Genomic DNA, 26,200 nt, shown 5'->3' on the forward strand with positions numbered 1-26,200 from the left:
CACTAGACAGGAACTATCTATTTAGTTTACTTCTATATCCCCAGGACCTGGAACATTGCCTGGGGCCCAATCCGTATGTGTGGGATAAAGGAACAGATCATATTGCCACTTTCTCGGTGCTGGTCATGGTGACAGGCACTAGAAACAGAGAGATGAATAAGTCAGCCCTTCCTGAAGAATTCTGTGAGCACCTAAGAGGTGTTATGAAGGGGTAGGGAGGAGGAAGTTCTTTGACCAAATAAACATAAGAAGTTTGGTTTTATTTCAGAAGGATTTCTCATAGACTTCAATAAGTGAATATGGCTTGTGAATTCCCAAGAGGGGCATATATTTGCATCCTTTCTGAAGTATAATTGATGTTAAAAACCCACTCCCTGTTCTGCACACACCTTTACAGTGTATACTGGGACTGGTGTTTGTTCCTTGGGGAAAGCATGGCACCTGCCCTTGAGTAGCTCCTGATCTCTTGGTAGCCACTTCCATCCAAGGTCTGCCAAGCAATAACTCGGTCTTCCATGCTCACTGGTCTGAGAGATGACTGGATCACTGTAAGACCACGACTGCCAACTACTTTACCCCAGACATTTTTGCCTACTGTGGTCCCTAGATAGTCGTTACCTGGATTCCCAACCCCAGGCCCTGGAACATATGGGTAGAAGTCCTAATCTCCTAAAAACAGTCAGTTCTAAATCTATGCATGTGCTCATGATCTGATATTTAAAGCTGAGATAGACTCAGAAACCTTGAAGACAGTTCTGCTCTCAGTAATTCTGACCTGGTAACACAAAGTCTAAATCCTGCCACCATGCCCATCATCGACACAGGGATGAATAACAAAAGAAAACCGCTCTTTCAACCCCACAGCCAGAACATGCCTTCATAAGACAGAGCCCAGAGTTTGCAACGTGTGGCGTTCAAAGTCCCCACATTTCAGCCTCGATCTCCCATGTGGAGGGCCGTGCATTCTCTCGGGCAGTGGACTCTACCCTTGCTGTAGTCCGAATAAATCACCAGTGCCCTGGTACTGAAGGGAGTTAATTGCGTTTGGAAATACTCCAGGTACTGAGGTTGGTTTGGTCAAAGACGTGGGCAAGGGTAGGGTAACATATGCATCCACTTTCATGAAATACACGTTAAGAATAGTGGGCTCTGTGTTGCCTAATTTATAATGGATCCCACACACACTCCTCCCTGCCTTCTTTTCCTGGCGAAGAATGTGAGGAACCATGGCAGTATTTTTCTTTTAGGTATAACAGTCTGTCAGTATCAAATTCTCTCAGTCAGTGGGGAGCATATAGTGTTGATTTACTGAAAATCTGGGATTATGTCTGCTCTGTGGTGAGTAGATTTAAGAGAGGAGAGGTAAGGGTCTCGGAAAGGTGAGGAAAAACACAAATGAAAGCTAGCAGGGAAAAAATAGCTTGACAGTTAAGATACAGTGCAGCCACCATCAAAATCTTCTAGAAAGAGAAGCCCAGGAAGGAACACACTCACATACACATGAACACCCATGTACATCCGTTTCAAGTCCCATGTACTGGAAGGTTTGCAACCTTTTCAATTAACCCCTTTCTCTTTGGGGCACTCCGGATGTGTCAATGAAGGCTTAAATACTGTCATGTTTCACGCTGGAGAGAAATTGTGACAACAGACACAAAGTTTTGTTTCAGTTTTTAAGAACTGGCTTAAAAAAAAAAGATTTGTGGCGAGTAAAGGGAATTCTTTTCTTCAAGGGCCCTTTGACACTTGACTACATTCCTGGACCTTTTTGTCACCAACATTTCATTATCCTGATCATATCCCTAGCCTCCTGCTCTTTCTCTCCTTTGCCTCAAAATAGCTGTCACCCTGTGTTACTTTACCCCAAGACTATTCCCTAGGAGCACCTCAACCTTCCCTTTCTTCTTTTACTCTTCCTCCTCTTTGTCCTGTTTTGAAGTGGAATACAGTAACTAAATAGAATTAAAATGTGGGGAAAATAACACAAACCCTGTGGCAGTATCTGGGTGCTTTTGAGAAGAGATTTTGGTACCTTTCTCTTTTCTGGGGCAAGGCTCCCGGCAAGTGCTGGGAAGGATAGAGTCGTGGAAGTGGTGGCAAGTGGGTGACGGGAGTTCTGGGGTTGATTTCACCCCCTTCCTGCTCCCTGACCCTCACTATCTTCAAGAAAATTTCCTCCGAGGCTTCAGGGTGGTTGGCAGGGGTGCAGTGACTTTTGTCATCAAGCATCCCAGCACTGATGCTGTGACTCAGTAGCTCTAGAAGAATCAGATGAGAAAGGCAAGCGCTGAGGCTCCCATCCGATAGCTACAAGGGATTCAATGTGTCTTTCTGAAGGCCACTGGCAGCTGCAGAAGTGAAGGATGTTGGGGATGGGGAAGGACCACACTTGTAAACCCCGATTGCTGTGGCCACCAAGAGACACAGGCACTGCTGAGTGTCTCAGAGCTTGAAAAGAGAGATGAGGAAAAAGAAAAAGAGGAAAGAGGGGATAAATAATAGTAAAGAAGATGCCACTAGCATTCTGTAACTCTAGAAAAGAATACAGAGATATCCAGTTGTGAATGAAGCAACATTTTGTCTCTTTATTTTATTTAAATTATATATTCTTCATCTGCATACTTGGGGTTCCTGTGATTTTGCTAAGTGGACTGTCTTAGCCTGTGACTCTCCAAGACCTGCCTCCGAGTTTAGGGCAGGGGTCCTCTGTGAGGAAGCCTGGGTTCTGCTGTTAGAAGCTGTAAAGCCAGCCTGCCTGTTGAGTCACCATGTGCCTGGAATAACCCTGGTTTATGCCTGTTGTCTCTGAGTGATTATGACTAATACCCCCTTTCACTAAAGTGTCCTGATTTTAATGAGAAATTACATAGTCAGTCTACATATAGACAAATTAAAGACTTCTTTTAATAGGACTATCAACCACACCTCCCACGTTCATTGAGACTAAAAACTGCCTGAAAAGAGTTACTGCAAAATGAAATTCCAGGGCAAAGAATAACTCCTTCAAGATCATTTCTCCTCCTCAGAGACAAGTGCAATTAGACCTCAGAAGAGGCTCCCGTTCACACATACTTGGGCCCTATTTGGATGGTATTTCTCTCTCCCTCTCTCCCTCATTTTTTTTTTTTTTTTTTTTTTTGCACATGGATCCAGCTATTCAAAATGGCACAAGAACCTGGTTGTGACCAATGTCATTCACAAAGCAGCATGACAATGACAAGTGTAATAGCGAAATCCTACATAATAGTGGACCAGCAATGGGGCCCACAGGGCTGGCCAGCTTGGGGTTCATAGAGGGCCCTTTAAAAATTTAGCCTTAGGGGTGCCTTTCACTTTATTATCGAGACCCAGAAAGAATGCTAGGGCCTATGAAAGAAACAACTGCAACTCCTCTCAGATTCTCTTCATACTGCATGCTGCAACAAAGCCTGCCTTTTTTACATTTCAAAAGAGGCTGCTTTCTCTTTAAAAAGTAGGAGCTACTTGGTCTGATGCGGCTGCCTTTATCAACCATGAAGTTCCCAGCAAGGTGCTGTTAGTGCCTGATTAAACCTCATACCAACCCATGTCCCCCATGGTAACCCAGAAGACATCCGCTGAGACCCGGAGCACTGATTCAGTTTAATTGCCCAGGCTCTCTGTGATGACCGGATTTCTTGTCTCTCAAGGCCTGGAATAGAAATCCATGTGATCAGATGAACTATCCGGGTGTCTTGACAGATCTGAAATATGAATATGGATATGGTGTTGTGCTCCGCAGTGACTTATGAAACCCCAACGGTAAAATATGATCTGCCATTGAAACAATTTCAGCAGTGTGTGCATGATTCACATAAAACTCATTTTCTAGTGGAACACTAATTATTAATAAATCAGACCAAAAATGGAAAAACAATGTGTGTATACATACACATGTAAGATGTACACATATGTATAAAATATACATAAGTATATATTTATACACATATATTTCTTTACCTGTATATAAAAATATATAGGGCCCCATTTAGACTGTATCGGTCTTTGTATTCTTGCTTTTCTTGGACTAATAAGATCATAACAACTTGTATTTACAAAGTATCCTACTCCAAGGAATTTGAACATTGATAATATCTGGTTTATTCACCCTCTTCTGCAGGGAATGAAGAAATAGATGGTGTCACCTCCTTTAATTTCCTAGAAAGAGAAAACAAGGCACTGATGCAGCCCGCGATGAGCAGGAATGGGAACCTGCAATCTCCTGGAATCTGCAACACATTGCTGCTCTATCAGAAGAAGAAATGCAAGGAAGAAGTCAGATAAGATGCTCTAACAATCCTTGGGTCACTGGATTCCTCCTAGAACCTCCCTTCCTTCTGGAAAGCCATCAAAAGTAAAGGCACTGGCCCTATAGGACCACAGGGTCACTTAAGGAACATTACAGAGCAATGATTCTTGACCTTCTCAGCTTCAAACTCCCTTCTAGAAATTGCACCCCCTTCCCCACCTCACACTATTTGTTCCAAAGGCTTTTATCTACCAAAGTTGATGGGGGGGCTCTAAGAACAGCTTGAGATTTACTGGTCATACCCCAGAGTCCCTGTGCTGACATCGACATCTTTCCCATCCACACAAATTATCCGTCGTTAACACATGGACGTGCTATATTTCTAACCAAATCAAAGAACTTGTACCGATCTTTTCTGCAGCCTTATTCTGAGTAAATATGTGATTTCCATTAGGCTTTTTGAAATATGTAAAATATATAGACTCCCATTACCACCTTCAGGACCTCTAGGTGTTTGGGGACCTTTACTAGGAATTCACTCCTATGCCCAAAATGAGTTTGAAGATGAAAATTATAGCTAGGCGGGGAAAGAACTGTTGGTGTAACAAGATATTTAAAAGCAAAAATTTTTCCCCACCTGGGTAGGTCAGGGCCTAGCATTGGAGAAAGGGATGTTTTCAAAATGAGAGTAACTGCTAAAGCAAAATGTGTAAAACTGAGACATTGGGCAAAGAAGGGAAAAGAAGGGAAGGGTGTTGGCTTATAAGAGAAGACAATTCTGCTGTGTTAAACTGTTTCCCCTGAAACAACATTTCCACTCAGCTGGGAAATTTTCTGGGCTCCTGAAACTTCATTAGGTTTCTGGCAATTACCCCAAGGAGACCCCCTAAAAGGTAGGCAATAGTTACACAACTGACATGCATTGTGTGACAGAAATAAAGGAAGCTGCACATGCTTTTATTCATTAACGTATTTTTTCCACAGTGCCATAAGGAAGGAAATTGTAAATTTGTAATCAGGCAGATCTCTAAGTTTTCCAAGAATGGCTGTTCTCTTCCCAACTAGGGTTAAAAGACAATTTGTTGCACTCTGGGCAAATCCCGACTTGGTTCCTGTCTTACTTAAGGTTTCAGAAATAGTCATAAATCTTTTAAAATATTTATTATTAATTCATTTTGGGGCAGCTTTTATGATTCTAAAACTTCAGGATCTGTTTGAATGTTTCCTGAGTCTCAAGTTTCATGGAGAAAGGCTGACAGGGAACCAAATTCCACCAGTGGTTTGGTGGTGTGTGAGCAGGCCATCAGCCAGAACATTCTAACATGTCTACAAAGGGCGTGATTTGGGGTCGTCTCTGCCGAGAAATTCTATGGACTAGGGGGAAACACTTTCTTCTTTCCCCCAGTACTATTTGGACTAGTTTCTAAAAATGGACAGAAACACCCTGTCAGCCTTGTGAGAAATCCAATCATCTTGTTAATAAACAGAAAAGGGTACTATCAACATGACTTATTTTCCACTAACTAGTTAATGCAAGTAAGACAAGCTAATAGGCAAAATTCAGATTTCATTTCATCTATTGCTTCACCCCACACCAAATGTAAATGTAAAAGTCTCCTGAATTGGGTGTGTTATAATCTCGGTCCACTGACAGATTATCTAGAAGCAGACTCACATTTCCCCCAAAAAAGAACCCTGTAAAAATAGCCATTGCTCTGTGTAGATATCAAATCTGTGCCTCCTGCAGGGAGTGCAGTGGATGCAGAAACCCAAATCCACCTTCAGGAGAGGCAGCCTGGAGGAGTAGCATGAAGCAAGGAAAGAAGAGTTGGTGGATGGGTTCTCAAAAAATCTTCCTTACAGCCAAGTCTGTGAGGTCAGGGGATAGTCTCCCAAGGGAAGTGGTGGGAGCCCCACAGTTAGAGGCATTTAGAAGGGGCCTTGATGGAAAAATGGAAATGTAACCCTAGGTTAAAAACTGTGCCCTGAAAAGGGATAAGGGAGACAAGCTTAAAGAGATTCTTTCAGCTCTAATTTCTAAGAATCCCATTAGACTACAGAGAAAAAAAATAAAAGAAAAAATGAAACAGGAAAAAAAGGAAACAAAAGCCAGAAGAGAAAATAATGTTAAGGCACACTGTTAAGAAACACACCGGAAGACCCTCATGATCTCCCAGCTACTGTTCCATCTGAATGCTGTGTAAGGGTTTGCAAGCTGAAAATCAAGTGAGCAGAGGGGAGATCCCTCTCAACTGACTGTGAACAAACCCTGCGAACTCCAGAGCCATTTGTCTAAACCAAGTGCTGAAAGAAAGGAAGCCCGAGATGGGGTAGCCACGAAGATTCATTTCCTTGTGGAGTTTGGCTATTCCTCCTCACTTTTAATCAATGCAATCCTGTCTAAATAGCCTACTTTCCTTAGCAAAGAAGTCTGGATTTAAGCTCTGAGCTTGCTTTTTTTTATTAAAGGCGTGTTGGCAATATCATGGTACATGACTTCCCTGATTTCTAGCAAACAGAGTCATAGATAACCTGAATACCAGAGTGCTAGCTGCTTCACCCCAGTTGAAATCAGCCTAGAATAAACATGTAAGTCATATAGTATTCCAGTATGAATAAACACGATCTGTGTATTTATAACTGTGTGTGTGTGTGTGTGTGTGCATCTGTGAGTGTGAGTATGGTGAACAGCAGACATTTCCATGCTTAGGATTTTTTCTTTTAACTGGTGAAAATAACTGTGACCTGAATTGAGAATGAACCAGGCTCCAAAAAGGCAGTTTTCCTGAACATGTACAGACAAAGGAAATAGTTTCCTTACCAGAAAGGAGTCACTTGAAAGCTTTTAGGCCAGACCGTGCTCGGGCTCAGATTTCTTTTCTTTCAGCCCTTTGATGAACAACTCATATGGAGATTCAAGCGTCTTGTGCCTGGTTTGAATTTAAGCTGTTGCTGACTTTAGTGGAAAACTTTCATAAACTCAACTCAGGCTTTCTTCCTTTCCCCACGACTGCTGACCAGGTTTTGATATATCTTTGGATATTCATCTTGAGTCATTCATTCTCAGTGTGATCATTATTATCAACTTGACGGAAAACAATTTTTCTGCAAGAGAGACTGAATTCAGTCTTCTTTCTCTTGCAGCTCTGAGTTCTGTCATTCTTCTGGAGCAGTGGGAGGGTGAGGCGGGGCTGGGAGACTACTGGATGCAGGAAGGAGGATGGAATGGGAGTGAAGCCTGCCGACAGCTGCTGGAGATCGCATATCTCTGTGGCAGAGTTATTGCTGGGACAATACCACATGGATCCCTTCCAGTACCCTAGCAAGAGGGCATAATCTCCACATGCCAAAGCCCTTCTTCAGGAATGAGCTGCATAGAGAGTGTAGTTTTCAAGAAAAGCCTTGCCCTCAAAACAGGACTCTTCCTGTGGCTCACTTGAGAATAGTTCCCTGAAGGATTTCCCCCCATTTTTGCTGGGCTTTTTGGTGACAGTTGAAAGTTTGGAATGCCCAGAACACTTTGTTCAGGAACCTGTGCTGCCTTCAGAATTGCGCAGTGAAAAACAAGAGCCTTGGAATCAACCCAGCCTGGATTTGGAGCCCAGCTTTGCCACTTACATGGGTAACTTTAATAACAAGTCTTCCTGGTCCTCAGTGTATATGTGAATTTAAGAAATCCTCAATTTCTGGATATTGGAAAGATTAAATGAGATTATGCTTCTAAAGTTCACTGTCTCTGCTTCACTCTTCCTCTCTGACCCTATGCTCTTGTTGATAACTTTGCAAATTCTCCTGGTCCTACGTAACTAAAACAATTGTGTCCCGTCCAAGCATAGAGGATCCAAGAATGATCCCTAGGGTGTGTGGGGCCCGAGGCGAATCACATGGTGTGTCTTCACTCCCTACATGTTTACAAAGACACAATCAGATTTAAGCGATTTTGAGGGCAGGTTTGAGTTGAAAATGAAAAATATCACAAAAAAGGAGAAGTCTAAGGAATATGTGTGGAAGCAGGAAAAGGGGGCATCCTGTTTGGCCTCAGGGTGGCTGTGTGGGGCACTGTAAGTTGCTCCACGCCCAGCAGCACTGATCTCCAGAGGCCCCTGAATTCAGCTCAGCACTTGCTCACTGCTGAAGCCATCCTGATTGGCCAAGACCTCTGGGAGTGGCTCTCACAGGAACCCTTCTCTCTTGCAGTTCCTGAACTTCAGGAGGCTCACTTGCCACAGTTCTTGCACAAACTTTGTTGCAAATGAGCCAAGTAGTTTGTATTTGTTTTTATAATGGTGCAAATCCGACAGGTAACTACCCACACAACCACTTCATTTAAAAATATATAAGACCAAGCCAGGCACAGTGGCTCATGCCTGTAATCCTAGCACTTTGGGAGGCCAAGGCGGGTGGATCATTTGTGGTCAGGAGTTCAAGAACAGCCTGGCCAACATGGCAAAACCTGGTCTCTACTAAAAATACAAAAATTAGCCAGGCGTGGTGGTATATGTCTGTAATCCCAGCTACTTGGGAGGCTGAGGCCCGAGAATCACTTGAACCCAGGAGAACCCAGGAGACAGAGATTGCAGTGAGCCAAAAATGCACCACTGCACTTCAGCCTGGTTGACAGAGCAAGACTCCGTATTAAATACATACATATATATCCATTTTTATATATATATACACACATATATATATCCATTTTTATATATATCCCATTTTAAAAACCACGCTGTGTGTGGTGGCACATGCCTGTGATCCCAGCACTTTGGGAGGTCGAGGCAGGAATATCGTTTGAGACCAGGAGTTCAAGACCAGCCTGGACAACATAGTGAGACTGCACCTCTATCAGAAAAATTAGCTGGGTGTGGTGGCATGCAACTGTGGTCCCAGCTGCCTGGGAGGCTGAGGCAGGAGGATCATTTGATCCCCAGATGTTGAGGCTATAGTGAGCCATGATTATGCCACTGTACTCCAGCCTAGGCAACAGAGTGATACCCTGTCTCAAAAAAATAAAGAAAAAAGAAGAGAAGAGAAAGAAGAGAAGAAGAGAAGAGAAAAGAGAGAAAGAGATGAAAGAAATAAAATGAAAGAAAGAGAGAAAGAAAGAACAAATGAACAAAAGAAAGAAAGAAAAGAAAAAGAAAGAAAGAAAGAAAGAAAGGAAGAAAGAGAAAGAAAGAAAGGAAGGAAGAAAGAAAGAAAGAGCTATAGAATGTAACCACATAGCTGAGGCTTCCCTTTGAACGTAACCCACTGGTGTACTCATTTCCTAAGGCTTCTCCTACAACTTACCATGACCTAAGTGGCTTAAAACAACACAAATGTGTTCTCTTGCAGTTCTGGAGGCCAGATAGAGGAACTCAGTCTTACCAGGTTCAAGTCAAGGTGTCAGCAGGATTGGTTCTTTCCAGAGCCCCTAGGGGGAGAACACGTTCCTTGCCTCTTCCAGCTTCTTGGCTTGTGGCTACATCTACTCCAGGCTTTGTCTCTGGGGTCACATTGCCTTCTCTTCTTCCGGAATCAAATCTCCCTCTGCTCTCTCTTATAAGGACACTTGCAATGGCATTAGGGCCCATTCCGATAATGAGGATAATCTTTCCATCTTGAACTCCTTGATTTAATCACATCTGCCAAGTCCCTCCTGCCATATGAGGTGACATTCATAGGCTTCAGGCATAAAGATGTGAACATCTTTGGGGACCTTTATTTAGCCTACCACAGACGGAAATCCCCCTTCATTAACAACAGCCAGCAGTTGCCTTGTTACGAAGTGTTTCTTGCCCAATAGAATAGAAAAACAATAACTCTTTGGCATTCTATTTTTTTTCCATTCTAAATCTATAATACAGACCAGTATATTACATGGGCGCATCATTTCCTGCTACTGCCATTGTCTCTGCCATCTCAGGAAAGGAGCTGAGAAGTGGATTCTAAAGATAGTGACAGTTCCAAGACCTCATTCTCCTTTATGCAGAATGACTGAACACAAACATCCCAGTCCTTTTCCATCATGTTAAAATTGATGATGTGCTCCAAGTCTGGCCAGAAAGCATGTGCTTTTCCAGACACACAAAAAACTAAATTTATACCGCCTTAAGGGACAAAGAGTGGCATTAACGCCGGGAATGGTTGCCCAGTTGAAAAACAGGAGGTTGTAAGGGAACAGTTATTTAAAAGTCACTCTGATATGACCTGTTCCCCAAACAATTCATTGCTGGGTCACAGTCATTGTTGCTAGGTTGCATAACATTTATTACTATGGTGTCCTGGGCCCCCTGGATTGGTAACAGACACATCTATTCCTCAGAGGATGAGCAAAGGTTGATAATGTCCTCTTACCCTAGGCGAGCTGAACTTCAACCGCCAAGATACTGGTTGGACATTAAGACTTTGCAACACCTATCATTGTCTGTCACCTCCCGAGATAAACTCTCTCGTGACTGGTTTCTCCCGTCACCAGCCACTGATATTTTATTATATCTCTTTTGTAGACTGGCTCTTGGGTCCCTGACACTGTCTGGCTAGATTTGGTCATATGCTCAAAGCTAAATTCACAGACCTCCAGACCTCACAGTGTGATGGGATAGGAAATAATCAGAGAGGCCTGGACGGAGTTAGACTGTCAGAGAAACTGCAAATCAGCAAAAGAATGAAAGCCCCTTGACCCTGAGCACATCTGCCACGTATTTAATTCTATGTTCTTGCCAAGCCCTGAAAACCCTGGCTGGGGAGACTTGGGAGCGAATGGGGTTATGAAGTCTAGGAGAACGTAGAGGTGAGAAGGCTGGCAGGTTGCCGGCTGCTGCGCTCCCCTCCTGGGTCAGGGACCGGGAGTGAGATCGGTGGTGGTGAAGTAGACACTGTGAGCCATGAAGATAGTCAGGGACACAAATGTAACCAGCTACGTGCGGGTGTCTGGATGACCCGCCACAAGATGTACTGCATCGATTTTATTTGCTCGCTTCTTTGCCAGCTGGCTCCAGAGCAGAGGAAGCAAATGAGCTTTTCCCTGTTCCTTGGGGTTTCTGATCTCAGGGCTACGTTAAGGAGATCCCAACATTTGGGAGGAAGTGAGCCCATGAGTTCCTGAATTCCTGAGTGGCTTCTCATTTCCACATCTTACGGTCAAATTAGAAATGGGTGCAGAAAAGTTTTGTTTGGGAAATGGCAGAGGGACCTTCCTGTTAGGGCTGCACCTACTTCTCCAGCCTCCTTCTCACCTCCTGCAACCTCCTGCATTTTAGTTCTGGGAAGACTGAGGATCTGCTATTGGTTTCTTTTCACTGCTCTTCACATTCCCCAGCTTTCTCATCTGGTTCAAATGTCACTGTCTCTTGGAAGCTTTCCTGGATTTCCTAAGCAGACTTAGATTACCCTTCCCAGCTGTCTTTTAGCATACCTCATATTCTTCACTATGTGAGGAGCTAGAATAATTCATTGATCTATGTTTCCTACTAACCAAAAAGTGTTTGAAGATAGAAATCCCATTATATTCCCAGTCTGGCACATGACAATGATTCAATAATTGTTTGGTGAGGAGAGGACATTCCTACATTAGACACTAGTTTTCGATATAGACCTGGGCTGTGGACCTTTGGTCATGGTAACAGACTGTGTGTGATGGATACACCACAGGGGAAAATCTATGAAGCCTCAGGGATTTTTAAAAAAGAAAAATGGCCCCAATTGATTTTTTTTATGTTAGTTGCTTGGGTACATTGTTTTGGGGAGGCAAAGCTAGAGATGCTGGATGAGCACAAAGCAATCGTATATGTACCCAGCACAGGAAACTTGGCCACCTTGGAGATGCCAAGAGGAATCCTGCCCAATTCAGGTGCTCCACACTGAATGCACCTATGCAAACTCAATTAAATCTCTCCTTCAGAAAAATAAAGAAAAGGCAAATAAAGATCAGAGATAATAAAGTTCCAAAATACTTTGTGGGCATACCTACTTTTCTTATACTCTCATTAGACTGAGGCATATGATGTTTTCTGGCCAATGGACTGCAACTGGAACATGCAACACTTCTGGGCCAAAGCACATAAAAGTAGGCAGAATTCTCCAAGCACTTGCTTCCCTGCTGTGGTGATCATGGAGGACTCATGTTGAGATGGCGGAGCAAGAGGATCAAAGCAGCCTGGATCACTGAGTCACCGCATGGAGAGTAGCAGTGTCTTGGAGAGTTGCCCAAACCCACAGCAGAGTTTGAGTGAAAAATAAATGTTTACTGTTATGAGCCACTGAGTTTTGGGGTGGGAGATAGCCTATCCTGACTAGAGCAGGCAAGTTGTTCTAAAACACTTTCTTGCATGCTTATGAAATAGACCACTACTCAGTGTCAGAAGGATTCAGCTGATTGTTTCTTCAACTTCACGGTGAGTAATTAGCACTCATCTTTACTTGAGAGCCCAAGGAACCTGGAAGGCTGATAGGCTCAGGGTGAATTCAGTGAGCGTGTTGTGGAAAATTCAGAGGAGAAGCACTGACATATGGGGCTATAAACATCTGTGCACCTTCCTTACACAAATTCTTGAATTATAGTCTCACAAATCAGTCATCAGATGACAGGGACAGAGATGATGGAGGATAGCAGTGGGCTCATATATTTAATGCTTTGGGATACCTTGCCATAGGCCTTCAAAAGCCCCCACCCCTTACACCATTATTTGACCTCTTTCGTGTGTTTATTACTTAATACTTATTAAATGCTTAATAACCACATATTCTTATTTGGTTCAGGGATGTTTTCTTGGCCAGGCTTCTGAATGCATTCATCCCATATGGATATTGCTTAGCCTCCATGACCCACTATTTATTAATGTAAATATCAGACCTCTGAATAGAGCATGTATTCAATACATATCCTTTGAATGAACAAATCTATTGCACTCTTATCTTACCCCACCTTAGAGCTTGCAAACACAGGATTCACTCAACTGAGCTAAAGCAAGTAATTACCTTTTAAGTAAACAACTACCTGATTGTCTATTTCAAACTCCCTGAGAAATATTCTAGAATTTCTTTTCCTCAAAAATATGTAATTATTACGTAGAATTAGAAGGGAAATTGCTTGATTTGCAAACAACCTTAAAATACACAATCTTCTCTCTCTCTTTTCCTCTGTAGGCTCCATGAGGTATTTCCTATTAAAAATTTCAGCTCTGCTTCTTATCACCTTTGCCCTCTTCTCCGCTCTGACTTTAAATTCAGGAGACGGTTTCCCTGGGGAATACAGATCCTAGTGCCATGTGATCTGGCCTAAAGGGTAGTGTGACAGAGCGAAACAAAAGAGGATGCTAACCTTGCCTTTCTCCCATTCACGTGTGCACTTCCCCACTGAATGCCAGAGACCGGAAGCGAGTAATGCTCCACCATCTCAGTAAAACCTATTAGTTTATGTGATTCAATCATTGGCAAGACTGACTCTGCAACAGAAGGGTGACAAGGAGTTAGCAAAATTTCTGGTGTTTGAAACAGACTAGTAAGAAATGTAGTGTTTTAATGGCAATTACTGCTTTCATCTTTTCTTACTACAGAATTATTGCTCATCGTGGAAAAAGCAAAAAACATACAGTAAATCAAAAAGACAGAAAAATCATTTTCAATCTAATCCTACAGATACTGCTATTAACATGTTGGTTTGAAACATTCTCTGTCTCTCTTTCTCCCTCGCTCTCTCTCCCCTTTCTTTCTCTCTTCGAATGCCTGTGTACTCAAGTGTAACTATTTATCTATAATTTAATATTATCTCAATAATGTTAATTACCTTAAGAAATCAGAATTTCTCTGAATACAATAAATACAATAACATTAGGAAACTGTCTTAATATACTGCTCAAAGTTAGATAGTATGACACTAAAATCACGATTCACAAGAGACAACTAGGCCAAAGAGATGGTTAAACTGCTGATACTCAGAGGTGGAGTTGTAAAAATGGAAGAGGGACATTTGGAGCCACTTTAGGGATATCTAACATTCATTTGGACTTTTCTTCTATGTGCAGCTGAAATGTAATTCTTCTCACTATTTTTTCAAATCTCCAATGCCTTCAGTGATCTTTCTGGAAGACATCAAGGAAAGATGCTTTGTCTCACTCCACACTTCTGGGGTGATGTCCTGTGATGTCAACCCAGGATGGCAAAAAGGACAAGATTATCTACTCCCTGACCTACTTCAGCGACTGCATAAGCTTAGGGTCAGAAGCACTGAAGAAAGCAGTAAGTGGCCACCCCTCCATCCTGAGGCCTGGACCTCAGGAAGAGAGTCCCTGGAGAGAACTGGAGAGAGAGGGAGAATGTGAAATGGGGTTGGAGTGAATTTAATTTGAATTTCAAAGGGTAAGGTCCTTTGAGTTTCATCTATGTTGCACGTACATAGTTTTAAAAAGTGGTATCATGCTGTTTCTGTTATTTCACACTCTATGGATTTTCACGTAACAAATATTTGAAGGCCATTCATGACAAATATATATATATCTCCATAAACATCATGATGTTGGGGGTGGCTGTGACAGAGACTGACCACTCGGCACAAGTAACAGATGCTGCTTCTGGGCGGAAGGAGTGAAAAGACCAGGCATATTTCTCCAGTTTCCTCCTCCCTGTTATAGCAATCATGGAAGAGGCTTTGTATTGAGATGATGGTGCCAAAAGATGCCAGTGGTCTGTGCTGCTGAGTCATCATGTGGACACCTGCCTGTAGTGCCATACAGACTTGTGTGGGAAAGAAATACATGTTGTTGGTTAAGCCTCTGAGATGTTGGAGTTGTTACTGCAGCATTAGTAAGCCTACTCTGACTAACATATTGGTCACCAAACCCGTTTTCTCCTTTTCCTGGTTACTTAGCTAGATGACATTCCCAATTCCTTATAAAAAACTAGATCAGACTTGGTGACCGAATTTTAGCCAATGAATTGTGAGCAAAAGCTAACCATGTTACTTTGGGGTTGAGATGAGTAAGAAGTATGTGTACCTTCTCTTCCTCTTTTTCTCCTGATGATGATGAAGCCTAGGAGATGAAGGAGCCACAAGCTAAAAAAAATTGTGGATCCTTGAAATACTGCTTATAAGAGAGCTGCCCACCATTTGGGAACACTTGTGTTGGACGTTATGTGAGTGACAGTAAATTTCTATGGTTTTTGAGCCATTACACATTTTTTGTTTTGTTTACAACAGCAGACCACATTAACTTTTAAAGAAATTTGTATTGTGAAGTAGAGTGCTTCCATAAGCAAAACCTGAAATCAATGTCATTTGGCCTAGTGATGGAATGGCAGGAAGTAAAGAAACAAGCGGTATCCTTTCTTTGAAATGAAGGCTGAGTGCCTCATTATATGTTGGCAAAACATTTAGCAAAGTTGTTGCCTGCAATAACTTGGAAGGCTGACCATATACATACCAAGACTGTTAACTCAAGAAAACTGTTGGCAAGAGTCCGTATAAGTATGTGATGGCTACTACTATCTGGTTTTAGCAAGGCTTTATAAGAAAAAGTGATGCTGAGGCCAGAACTGGCTAGTTTTCAAGTACAGATGAAAGACACTGGAGATAATTCAGTTCTGGACTTAATGAAATAATAAAACTTTTATCATGTGGACATTTTTGGTTTTGTGTTTTTTATAAAATCTATCACTTTAATTAATATTGCTGCAGAGTATTTTATTGTACGACTATCTCAAATTTGTTTAAACAAATCTCTACTGATGACCATTTGGGATGTTTCCAATTGTTTTGCCATTGCTAAAAGCTCTACTTTGGATATCTTGATACTACAGTTTGTCCACTTTTCCAATTATTTTCTTACAATTAATTATTGTAATTGGAGGTGCAGGGTTAAAGAATATGGACATTTTAAATTTAATGCATTCTGCCCAGTATCCCTGAAGAAAATTTACATCATTTTGAAATCCCACCAACATATCCTCAACATCAGAGGCATTATCACTATATGTATCTTTAAAATAGATGAGCAAAAAACATGATGTTCCATTGTTGTTTTGTTTTCCTTTTGTAATTAGTGAGGTCTAACATAACTTCATATGTTCATAGCCATTGCATTTGGTCATTTGTGAACTGCATGCACTTCTCTCTTGAGATATCTGTCTTACTTATTTAGAAGGACTCAGTTTAGTTTATCTGGGGAAGTCCTACATTACACCTGGTCTCCTGGCATAAGTACAAGTAGTACCTCCTTTCACTCTCCAAAGTACTTTGGTCTGAAAAATAAATTATATGGGTACCCTGGATATAACCCCTTATTTTGCCAATCTGTTGCTGTTTTTACCCAGCTTGTCATTCATCTTTAAGTTTGATTAAATGTTTATGTTGTAAATTTTGTCCAGTTTTTCTTTATGATTTCCAGCTTCAGTATCAGACTTTGAAAAAAATCCTCATTTCAAGATTTCAGAAATAGGCACCTAGCTTTTCCTGTATTCATTTTATGCTTTTGTTATTGACATGGGAGCACAACGATGCTCTCTCACACTCTTGAGGTCTTCACTCAAATGTCACCTTTCCAGTTAAATTGCATCCCACACCTACCTACTGGGGAAACACTAACTCTATTCATGGCTTTATTTTCCTTCATAGTGTTTGTCACCATTCAACCTACTATATATTTTGCTTATTTATTTCACTGTTTCTCTACTACCACTGAAAGGTAAGCTCCTTGAGGGTAGGAATTTTCGAGGTTGTTTTTGGTTGTTGTTGTTAATTATTGTATCTCTAGGAGCTGGAACATGGCATATAGTAAGTGTTCAACAAAACACATGTTTAATAACTGAAATTAAAGCTTCAACCCACCTGACGCTTATTTTGTTGTAAGTTATAAAGTAAGTACTCAGTTTACTTTAGTCCTTTCCCTTATTGAATTAAAATCTCCTTTAGCCTATACTCCCTTTATCTTCTGGTACTACACATTTTCTTACATTAGTCAGTTTCTCTATTATATACCATTAACCTATTTCACAGTGTATTGCAAGAAAAATTATTCAATAATCTACTTTTAGTTTTTTATATCTCTGTCTTCAAATATTTACTAAAAGATAAAACTTACAGACACCTGTCATGTTTCCATTGATACACTATTGGGGATGATTGGGATCATATTTAAATTATATATTGATTTAAAGAAAATTTACATTTCTATGTTTAGCTCTCTTGCCCAGAACAAAGTACAAAGATCCATTTTCAAGGTCTGTGTGTGTGTGTGAGTGTATGTGTGTGTGTGTGTGTGTGTGTGTGTTTTAGTTATGGTAACACTAATTGCCAAAACAGGTAACTTCTAAAAATGTAGTGGCTTAACACGAAAAGTCCAAGTGAATATTCACAAGGCTGCATGCTAGTCAATGATGCAAGGATCAAAGGTTCTTTCATGTTGTCATCCTGTCCCTCCTCTCCCTTGCTTCAGCATCCTCTGCCAGGAGATGGAGAAAAAACAGCAAAGAGGATATACCTGTTTCTTAACCACTTTGGTCCAGAATAGGCATATATTATTCCTACTTTAGATCCTACCCAATGTTTTAAATAAATTAAAGAAAAAATCGTAGGAGTAAGAACTGGAAAGGAAAAGATAGGCAGTTATCATTTGTAAGTCACAGGACCCTTACATAGAAAAAGAAGAATCCATGGACTTTACATCTAATGGGTTGCCTGATCTGAGATCAATTTAAAAGAATCAGTAGCATTTTTCTACATCAGTAATACCCAAATACAAAATATAACAAAAAGTTATTTTTCTTAATAGCAAACCAAACAAAGATAAACCCCCACAAAATGATAATGAATACACAAATTGCAGCAAATACCTAAGTCCTCTACAGAGAAAAATTCAAAATTCATAGAAGAACATAATTTTAAAGACCTGAATAAACAGTCATTACATGCTCTTGGATGGAATGACTTAACAGTAGAAAAGTGTCAATTCTTTCCCAAATTTTATATGTATATAAATTTTATGTAGCTATTATATAAATTCAATGCAATCTGAAATAAATTCCAGCTACATTTGTTTAGGAACCTGATAAGAGTATTCTAAAAAGCATATAGAGGCCAGGCATGGTGTAATGTGAGCACTTTGGGAGGCTGAGGTGGGCAGATCACCTGAGGTCAGGAGTTCGAGACCAGCCTGGCCAACATGGCAAAACCTTGTCTCTACTAAAAATACAAAAATTAGCTGGGTGTGGTGGTGCACACCTGTAGTCCCAGCTACTCAGGAGGCTGAGGCATGAGAATCGCTTGAACCTGGGAGGTTGCAGTGAGCTGAGATCATGCCACTGCAATCCAGCCTGGGCAACAAAGTGAGACTGTCTCAAAAAAAAAAAAAGAAAGAAAGAAAAGAAAAAAACACACACCATACAGAGTAATAAAGTTAAACAAATTTGAAAAAGAACAGAAAAGCAAAGATAAATTGCTTCATTCTCTATAGTAATAGAGTCAATAGAACACAATGAAGAGCTCAGAGACAGACACACAATTTAATGTCTTATAATGGTGTCATCACAAAGATATAGGGAAAATATAGACAATTAGTAGATGCCATTCAGAAAAATGGATGACTATATGAAAAAACTAAAAGTTAACATCTACCTAACACCATAAACAAATATACAGAGGATTAATAACCTAAGTATAAACAAAACACTGAAAAAAAAAGAAACCAGAAGAACATGTAGGGCAATACCTTTGTAACCTAGGAGTGAGGAAGAATTTCTTAAACAAAATCCTGAAAGTACTAACAACAAAGTGAAAAGTGACATAACTTGACACCAGTGAAATGAAGGCTATTGCTCAACAAAGAAAACTATGGATAAAACTGACAGATACATGAGACATTTGCAATTTCAAAAACAACCAAGGGCCTTGAATCAAGAAAAGAGATCTTGAAAAACCAACAGGAAAAAGACAGGAACACAATAGAGAAAGGGTTAGATTGACTAAGAAATTTCTAGAAAATGAACCTTAAAAGGCGACTAGTAAATGAAGATATGCTCAAATGTAGTATATTTTGATAACTGCAAATTTAAATGGCAGTGATAGACGTTACACACTCACATTGGGACAAATTGGAAGACTGGACAATGCCAGGTGCTGGCAGGTGTATGGTGATAGGGCAAGCTTCCACCACAATAGGGGGTAGTAGAGACTAATGCAGACATTTTGGAGAACATTCTGTTAACATTTGGTCAAAATATGTGTATGTAAACCCCATGAACCAGCAATCTCACTGCTGGGATACATCTCAAAGAACTTCACACAGTTCTACTTTTCTTTTTCTTGCCTTATTGCTCTGGCTAGGATCTCAGTACAATGTAAAATAGATGGGGTAAGAACAGATTTTTTGCTGTGTTCTTAACATTAGGAGGAAAATATTTGATCTTCTCCATTAAATATATTATCTGTAGTTGTTCACTGATGCTCTTGATTAGCCATCATTTTTTCAAATATATTTTCTGTCCTTTTCTCATTTCTTTTCTTCTGGGATCCCAATTACATGTATGTTATGCTACTTGATACTGTCCTACAGGTCACGGAGTCTTTATTCAAGTTTTTCAGTCTTTTCGTCTCTACATTTCATTTTGCATAATTTCCATTGCTGTGTTTTCAAATCCGTTGATATGTTATTATGTAGCATATAATTTGAGGTAAGTTTCATTCCAGTAACACTTTCTTTTCATATGTTGTATTTCTTAATTTCTAGAATTTTTATTTTGTTTTTTCCATATGTTCTATTTATTTCTTCATGTTTTCCTTTAAATCCTTGAACATATTTACACTTGTGGTTTTAAACATCATTTTCTGATAATTTCACCAGCTCTGTTATTTCTATACCCGTTTCTATGATTGAATTTTTTCTCTTCATTATGGGTCACAGTTTCCTGCTTCATCTCTATCTTATAATTTTTGATTAGATGATTAGATGCCACACCTTATGAGTATTATGTTTCTGAGTAATTTGGACTTACTGGTTTTATTTTAAGGAGTATTTGAATTGTGAGAGGGAAACAGCTACATTACTCAGCTTACTCCGTTTGAGATTTGTTTTTAAATTTTATTAGAGCAATTCTAGAATAGCTTTTATGATTTTTCTTCTTTAGCCTTTACTGCATAGTTTGCTTCTTTTTCTCATCACACATGGTTTTATTGTGAAAAAAATTTAATATATAGAAAAGTTGACAGAATGATATGCAACGAACAGCCATATACTCACTGCCTAGATACACTGATTATTAAAATGTTACCGTGTTTAATTAATCTATCTGTAATATTCTGTATTTATTTTTTCTCACCATTAGAATGTATTCTTTTTCTCCAATTTTTCTAAATGTTACTTTTATATCTTTATATACTTGCTTAAACCTACCAAACATTGCCATATCTTTTAATCTATTCCCTGAACAAATGAGAAAAAATATGCATTTTTTTCCTGCCACTCACCCCCTTGCTTCCTGGTATGTGTGTGCACGTGTGTATTTAGGTGTATTGCTTTCCTTGAAGGTTTTGTCCATATCTATTGTATTTAAAATATTATTTTTATTATATATGTATTCCATCAAAAATTTAAGATTTAATTTTTGTTTTATAATCACAATGAACATAGTTATTTAAACTTAGATTTGTGTTTAAAATGGGATTTGTGATCTATGGATTCCAAAGTAGGCCATGGATTGATTTCCATAGATTTCTGAATAACACCAAGTAGAATGTACATTTTCAGGTATCTGGAGTGCACTTTCTTCTGAGAAGGTCCATGTCTTCCTCAGAATCTCCTAGGGGTTAAGAACAAATTAATTAAGTAATCCACATGCACAGTCCTTTTATACCATAACTTCCTATTCTTTTTTATTCATCTTTCTCATTGCTAGAAAACTTGTGCAAATGACCTTTTCCAGGAATTGTTCATTGGTAATATACTTCCCAAATTCTTGCTTTTGTGAGTATGCCTTTCTTTTGCCTTTACAAGAATAACAACCTGACGGTTTATGGGATATTTGGCCACAGCTTTCCTTTTAAAATTCTCCTATACTGCTAATGTGAATCCTGGACTAGCCTGATGATTCCCATTGTTGGTTACATATTTTCTCTGGCTGGATGTTTGTGACAATAGATGGCATTTACCAAGTACTTATTATGTGCCAAATAACAGGCTAAGTACGTTTGCAAACATTTTTGTATTTCATCTTCATTATAATCTTGTAAGTTACATACTACCTGCTTAATATCACAGCAATGCAGCTTGTACCCAGGTAATCTGACTGTAGTCTTAAGCAGTGCTATTCTGACTTAAAGGATTATTTTTCTTTTCGTCCTTAAAGTTCTGTACATTTGCTCAGAGACACTTTGGGTTTGACAAATTCTTTCCATTTGGCTACAGTGAGCCTTCGCCACCTGTATATTCCTCTTTTTGTGTTTGTTTATCATTTCTAACTTCTGTAGGCACACAAACTATGTGCTGAATCTTCATTGTTTGATTTCCATAGCTATTATCTTCACACTGATCTTTTTGTTTCCTTTGTCTCTCTTTCTTCATTCTGACTGATTATTTTCCCAGGATAGTTCTCTATGGATTCTAGTTTTTAATGTCAGTTCTGGCTTTGATTCTTCTACTGTAGTTTTAAGTTCCATAATAACATTATTTTTCTCCTTTGCTTTTTTTTTTTTAACTCACCTTAGTAGTTTCCTTTTCATTTTGTTATCTTCTCCCGTTTTTTATTTAATAAGTCCATTTATCCTTTCCTCTTCATAGGAGTGTGATAAAGTTATATATATTTTCATTATGTCTTTTTGTATAAAATTTATGTCAAATTATGCCTTTTGTTTCTTACCTTTCTCTTATATGTTGAGGTCACTTCCTCCCTTTTCATTGTGTAATTTTTCTAGGTCTCAAGCTTCTGTTTTTATTTGCATTTTCACCTTTGAAAGAGGAACTTGTAGCTCTGAATTTGCCATCAATATAGAGAGAACCAAATCTTCTAAACCCTCATTCCATAGGATTTAATATGGACAGCTAGATGTTGTAGATTAAAATATCACTTTATTCATTCATTTTCCCAAGGAAGTTAGAGAAGGAGCTATGATCACACACAGCTTGGTCCACTGAATTTGATAGACATAAATAGAAACTCTTTTATTGAGGGTCAGTTCTTGGAGGAAGGAGTAAGAAAGAGGGGCTTTGGGTTTTGCTTGTTTTCCTAATACAGTTATTTTTCCCTCCAGCTTTACTGTGGTATAATTTGTTTACAAAAAAACTGTACATGATTATTGTATATAATTTGGTGAATTTGGACATAGGTGTATACAATCATGTTACTATTACCACAATCCAGGTAATAAACATATCCATCACCTATAAAAGTTTCTTTGTGTCCCTCTGTTGTTATTGTTTTGTTTTGTTTTAATGATAAGGATGCTTAACATGAGCTCTATCCTCTTAACAAATTTTTAAGTGCATAATACTTTCTTGCTAACTACAGGTACTGTGTTGCACAGTAAATCTCTAGAATTTAGGCAACATCTATAACTTTTCCTCCATGGAGCTACAACTTACGATATCTTCCTTCCCCCATTCTCTGATAACCACCATTCTATTGCCTACTTCTATATACATTTGATTATTTTGGATGCCTCTTATAAGAGGAATCATGCAGTATTGGTCCTTCTGTGACTGTCTTATTTCACTGAGCCTAATGTCCCCCAGGTCCATCCATGTTGTTGCAAATGGTAAGATTTCCTTTCTAAGTCTGAATAATATTCTGTTATGTGTATCGACTACATTTTATTTATCCATTCACCTTTTATTGGACATTTGGGTTGTTTCCATATCTTGGCTATTGTGAATAATGCTGCAGTGAACACAGGAATGCAGATATCTTTCGAGATCCTGATTTCAAATCTTTTGGATATGTACCCAGAAGTAGGATTGCTGGGAACTTTGGCTATTCTGATACCCAAGAGCACTTAGGCATTGCATTTGGTCAGTTAGATATTTTCTCAACACAATCATTATTGTCTGATGCTGCCAATCCAGGGTTGAATGTTGTTTTCTAGGAGATTGCCTCGCACTTTTCATCCTTGTTAACCTTGTCTCCAGACCATGCTCTCAAGCTTGAGGAATACAACAAGGAGCCTGAGAACTCCAAGGAATTCCACCAGCTCGCTGCCCACTGTTGAGCCAGAGGGAGGGAATGAGCTTCTGGGAATGTGGTTCCATTTCTTCAGAGGCCCACTCCAATCCCCATTTCCATCTCCCCAAATTGGAAAACGTTATCAGGAATTGACAGAATTGTCTCTGCTCACTTCCCTTAATTCTCCACCATTCTCACAAGTATAGAAATTGTACATTCGCTCCTGGAATCTTCTTTTAATTTGATATAGAATCTTCTTTTAAATTGTAGTATATCTGGTGGGTGTCCCTCAAATCTTAGCAAATATTTATTTTCTAGAGGTAAATGGGTATGATTGATAGGTATTAGTCAGAAAGACTGGAAATGAATTACAACAGTGTGATAAGAGAAGATAGGTAAAACAAGTATTTTAAGACAGAGAGTATACTTATTAAATAATGCAGAGACAACAGGTAGAATAGGAACTGAGAGGAGTCCATAAAATTTATACAACAGAGAGGCCACTGATGAAGCTTGGATGGAGAAGTTTTCTGTGGAATGTCCACAGTAGTGAAGAAACTGCAGAATGTTATTAAATACATTTTAAAACACTGTGAAATAGATGTGAAGAGTATATGGCAAGGGAAATGGCCAATGATCTCTCTGGTCCCCAGTTCCCTTCCCCATAAAATATGAAGCTGGACTTGATAATCTCCAAGGTGCCTTTTGCAATAGGAGCTGCTGAGTGGAAGTAAGGCTCATTCTCCTTGATGCAAATTACCCAGGAACTTCCCCATCAAATCTGGAGAAAGAAGACCACCTCTGAAGCTTTTGCTGAAACAGACTGAAACTGACTCTAATAGAGCCTTTAGTCTGATTTCCAGTGTGCAGGAAATATAGGGGAGGGAGGAACAAGTTTAGGGTACCAACAAGGACTAATATCACGTGGGTCTCTCTGCTCCTCTGTCTGGGGCGTTTTTGTGGAACCAAGTGAGCTCACTCAGCCCATGAGCAAGGCAGCCCAGAAGTGAAGAGTGAGGGGTGAGAGTCTGTAGACAGAGATTTTGCATTCCCCAGCTTTGGTGGGACAGCTCTGAGGTGCATGGTATCCAGGTCCTCAGAGCATCACCAGCAGAATTAAGCCCCAGTTGCCTACAGTGATACACTGCTCATTAATGCATCTTTTCTTGGTCTTTCACCCTCTCCTGCCTCACTTTTCCTACTACCGCATTTTTTTCTTCCTAGCACTACTGTACAAATAAAATGCCTGCCCTCAAGTCCTTATCATAGGGTCTGCTTTGGGGGAACCCCAAATAAAGACAAGGGGACTATTAGAAAATTAAAAATATGTAGGAGACAAAACACTCAAAAACATCATGTGGACATTGATTAGATCTGGGCTTGAACAAACCAACTGTAAAATAATGTATTTGAGATAATCCAGGAAATTTGAATATAGACTTAGCATTAGATGATATTAAGAAACTACTGCTAATTTGGTTAGTTGTGATAATTATATGATGTTTGTAAGATAAGGTCTTTATCTGGAGATGCATAAGGGTAAAATCATAGATCAGTGGAATTTTTCAGTACTTAAAGAAAGAAAGAAAAGGAAAGGAAAAATAGAATAAATATAACAAGTGTGGCAAAATGTTAACTGTTGAATCTGGGTGATAAGTATTTGGGAGTTCATTATACTATAATATTATACTTCTTATGTTGTGTATTTTCAAAATCTTTCATAATAAAAAGTTTTCTTCTTTTGAAGAGAAAAATTCAAATTCCAAGAAAATACTAACTTTGACAGTAGACTAAATTCCTCAAGAGCATTTACTTTCAGGGACTTAAGTACAGAAAAGACTTTCTACACCACTTTCAGATAAGACAAAAAAAAATACCCTCCTACTTGCTGCAAAATGACATCCACTGATTACTCCTCTTCTGTATTCCCTGCTTGCAGCCTTGCCACATGCCACATTTCTCTCTCTGAAGTATCAAAAAGCAAACAAACTCTCCTGAAATCAGCATATTCCATTGCAAGAGGCCAGCCACTAAGCCGTCACATGAGTAGCACTCTGAGTACCAGAATGGGTTTTGAAATATTCTGGCCAAGAATAGTTCCAAGGGCAGAGCCCAGACACGCCATGCAGCTCATGTAAAAAAAAAAAAAAAATTCCATACATTTTCCATGCACTGATTCAAGATACCCATAGAAATAGACCAAGGCATTGCTTAATCAATTCTCAAGACAGGAAGGAACCTCCTAAAAAAAAAATAGCTCTTGGTCTCCTGCAAGGTAAAATGTGTGCCTCAGATCTGCAAATGAAAGAGTATCACAAACATATGGTTAATGACTCATCCCAAATGGAAAAACAGAGTTTGTTATATTTTATGGAGATTTTACATGTTGAAGGTACATCTGTTGCTATTTATGCTGACATGTATGTAGAGATTGGCAAAGCAAGTTCTCTGTAGGGATGAGCGAAATCCAAACCAAACCACAGAACTTTCTAACTTTGAGGCTGGCTCCTGGGATGGAAAACGGCTTCCTGATCCCTTGAAACACTGCCCAGTTGAGCAGGGTGACTTCGAGAGGCCCACATCACAGGACTGCACAGTTGGATAAAGCAACAAAAAGTCCTGCTTTGCACAGGGCCTCTAGAGAGAACAGAACAAAGACAGGAAGCCAGAGAGGTGTTGGAGAGCTCGGGGAACAGTGTTCTGATTACTGAACACCTTCTTTGGGTGACTGTTCCAGGAAAAATAGACCACATCTATTCTGACATAAACATGCCACCCAGAATCAGACAAAAGCCCACTCCCTTTAGCTCTGTT

At 39.7% G+C, this 26,200-nt stretch overlaps 1 long non-coding RNA gene across 1 annotated transcript in view; it reads right to left on the reverse strand.

Moving 5' to 3' along the window:
• Positions 1-7,711, reverse strand: part of LINC01894 (long intergenic non-protein coding RNA 1894) — a 55,206-nt gene extending 47,495 nt beyond the window's left edge. Inside the window, exon 1 of the long non-coding RNA NR_146903.1 lies at positions 7,089-7,711. This is a non-coding gene — a long non-coding RNA (long intergenic non-protein coding RNA 1894). The remainder of the gene's footprint in view (positions 1-7,088) is intronic.
• Positions 7,712-26,200: the final 18,489 nt, after the last annotated feature.

Source organism: Homo sapiens, chromosome 18 (assembly GCF_000001405.40).
Source record: "Homo sapiens chromosome 18, GRCh38.p14 Primary Assembly".
NCBI lineage: Eukaryota > Metazoa > Chordata > Mammalia > Primates > Hominidae > Homo > Homo sapiens.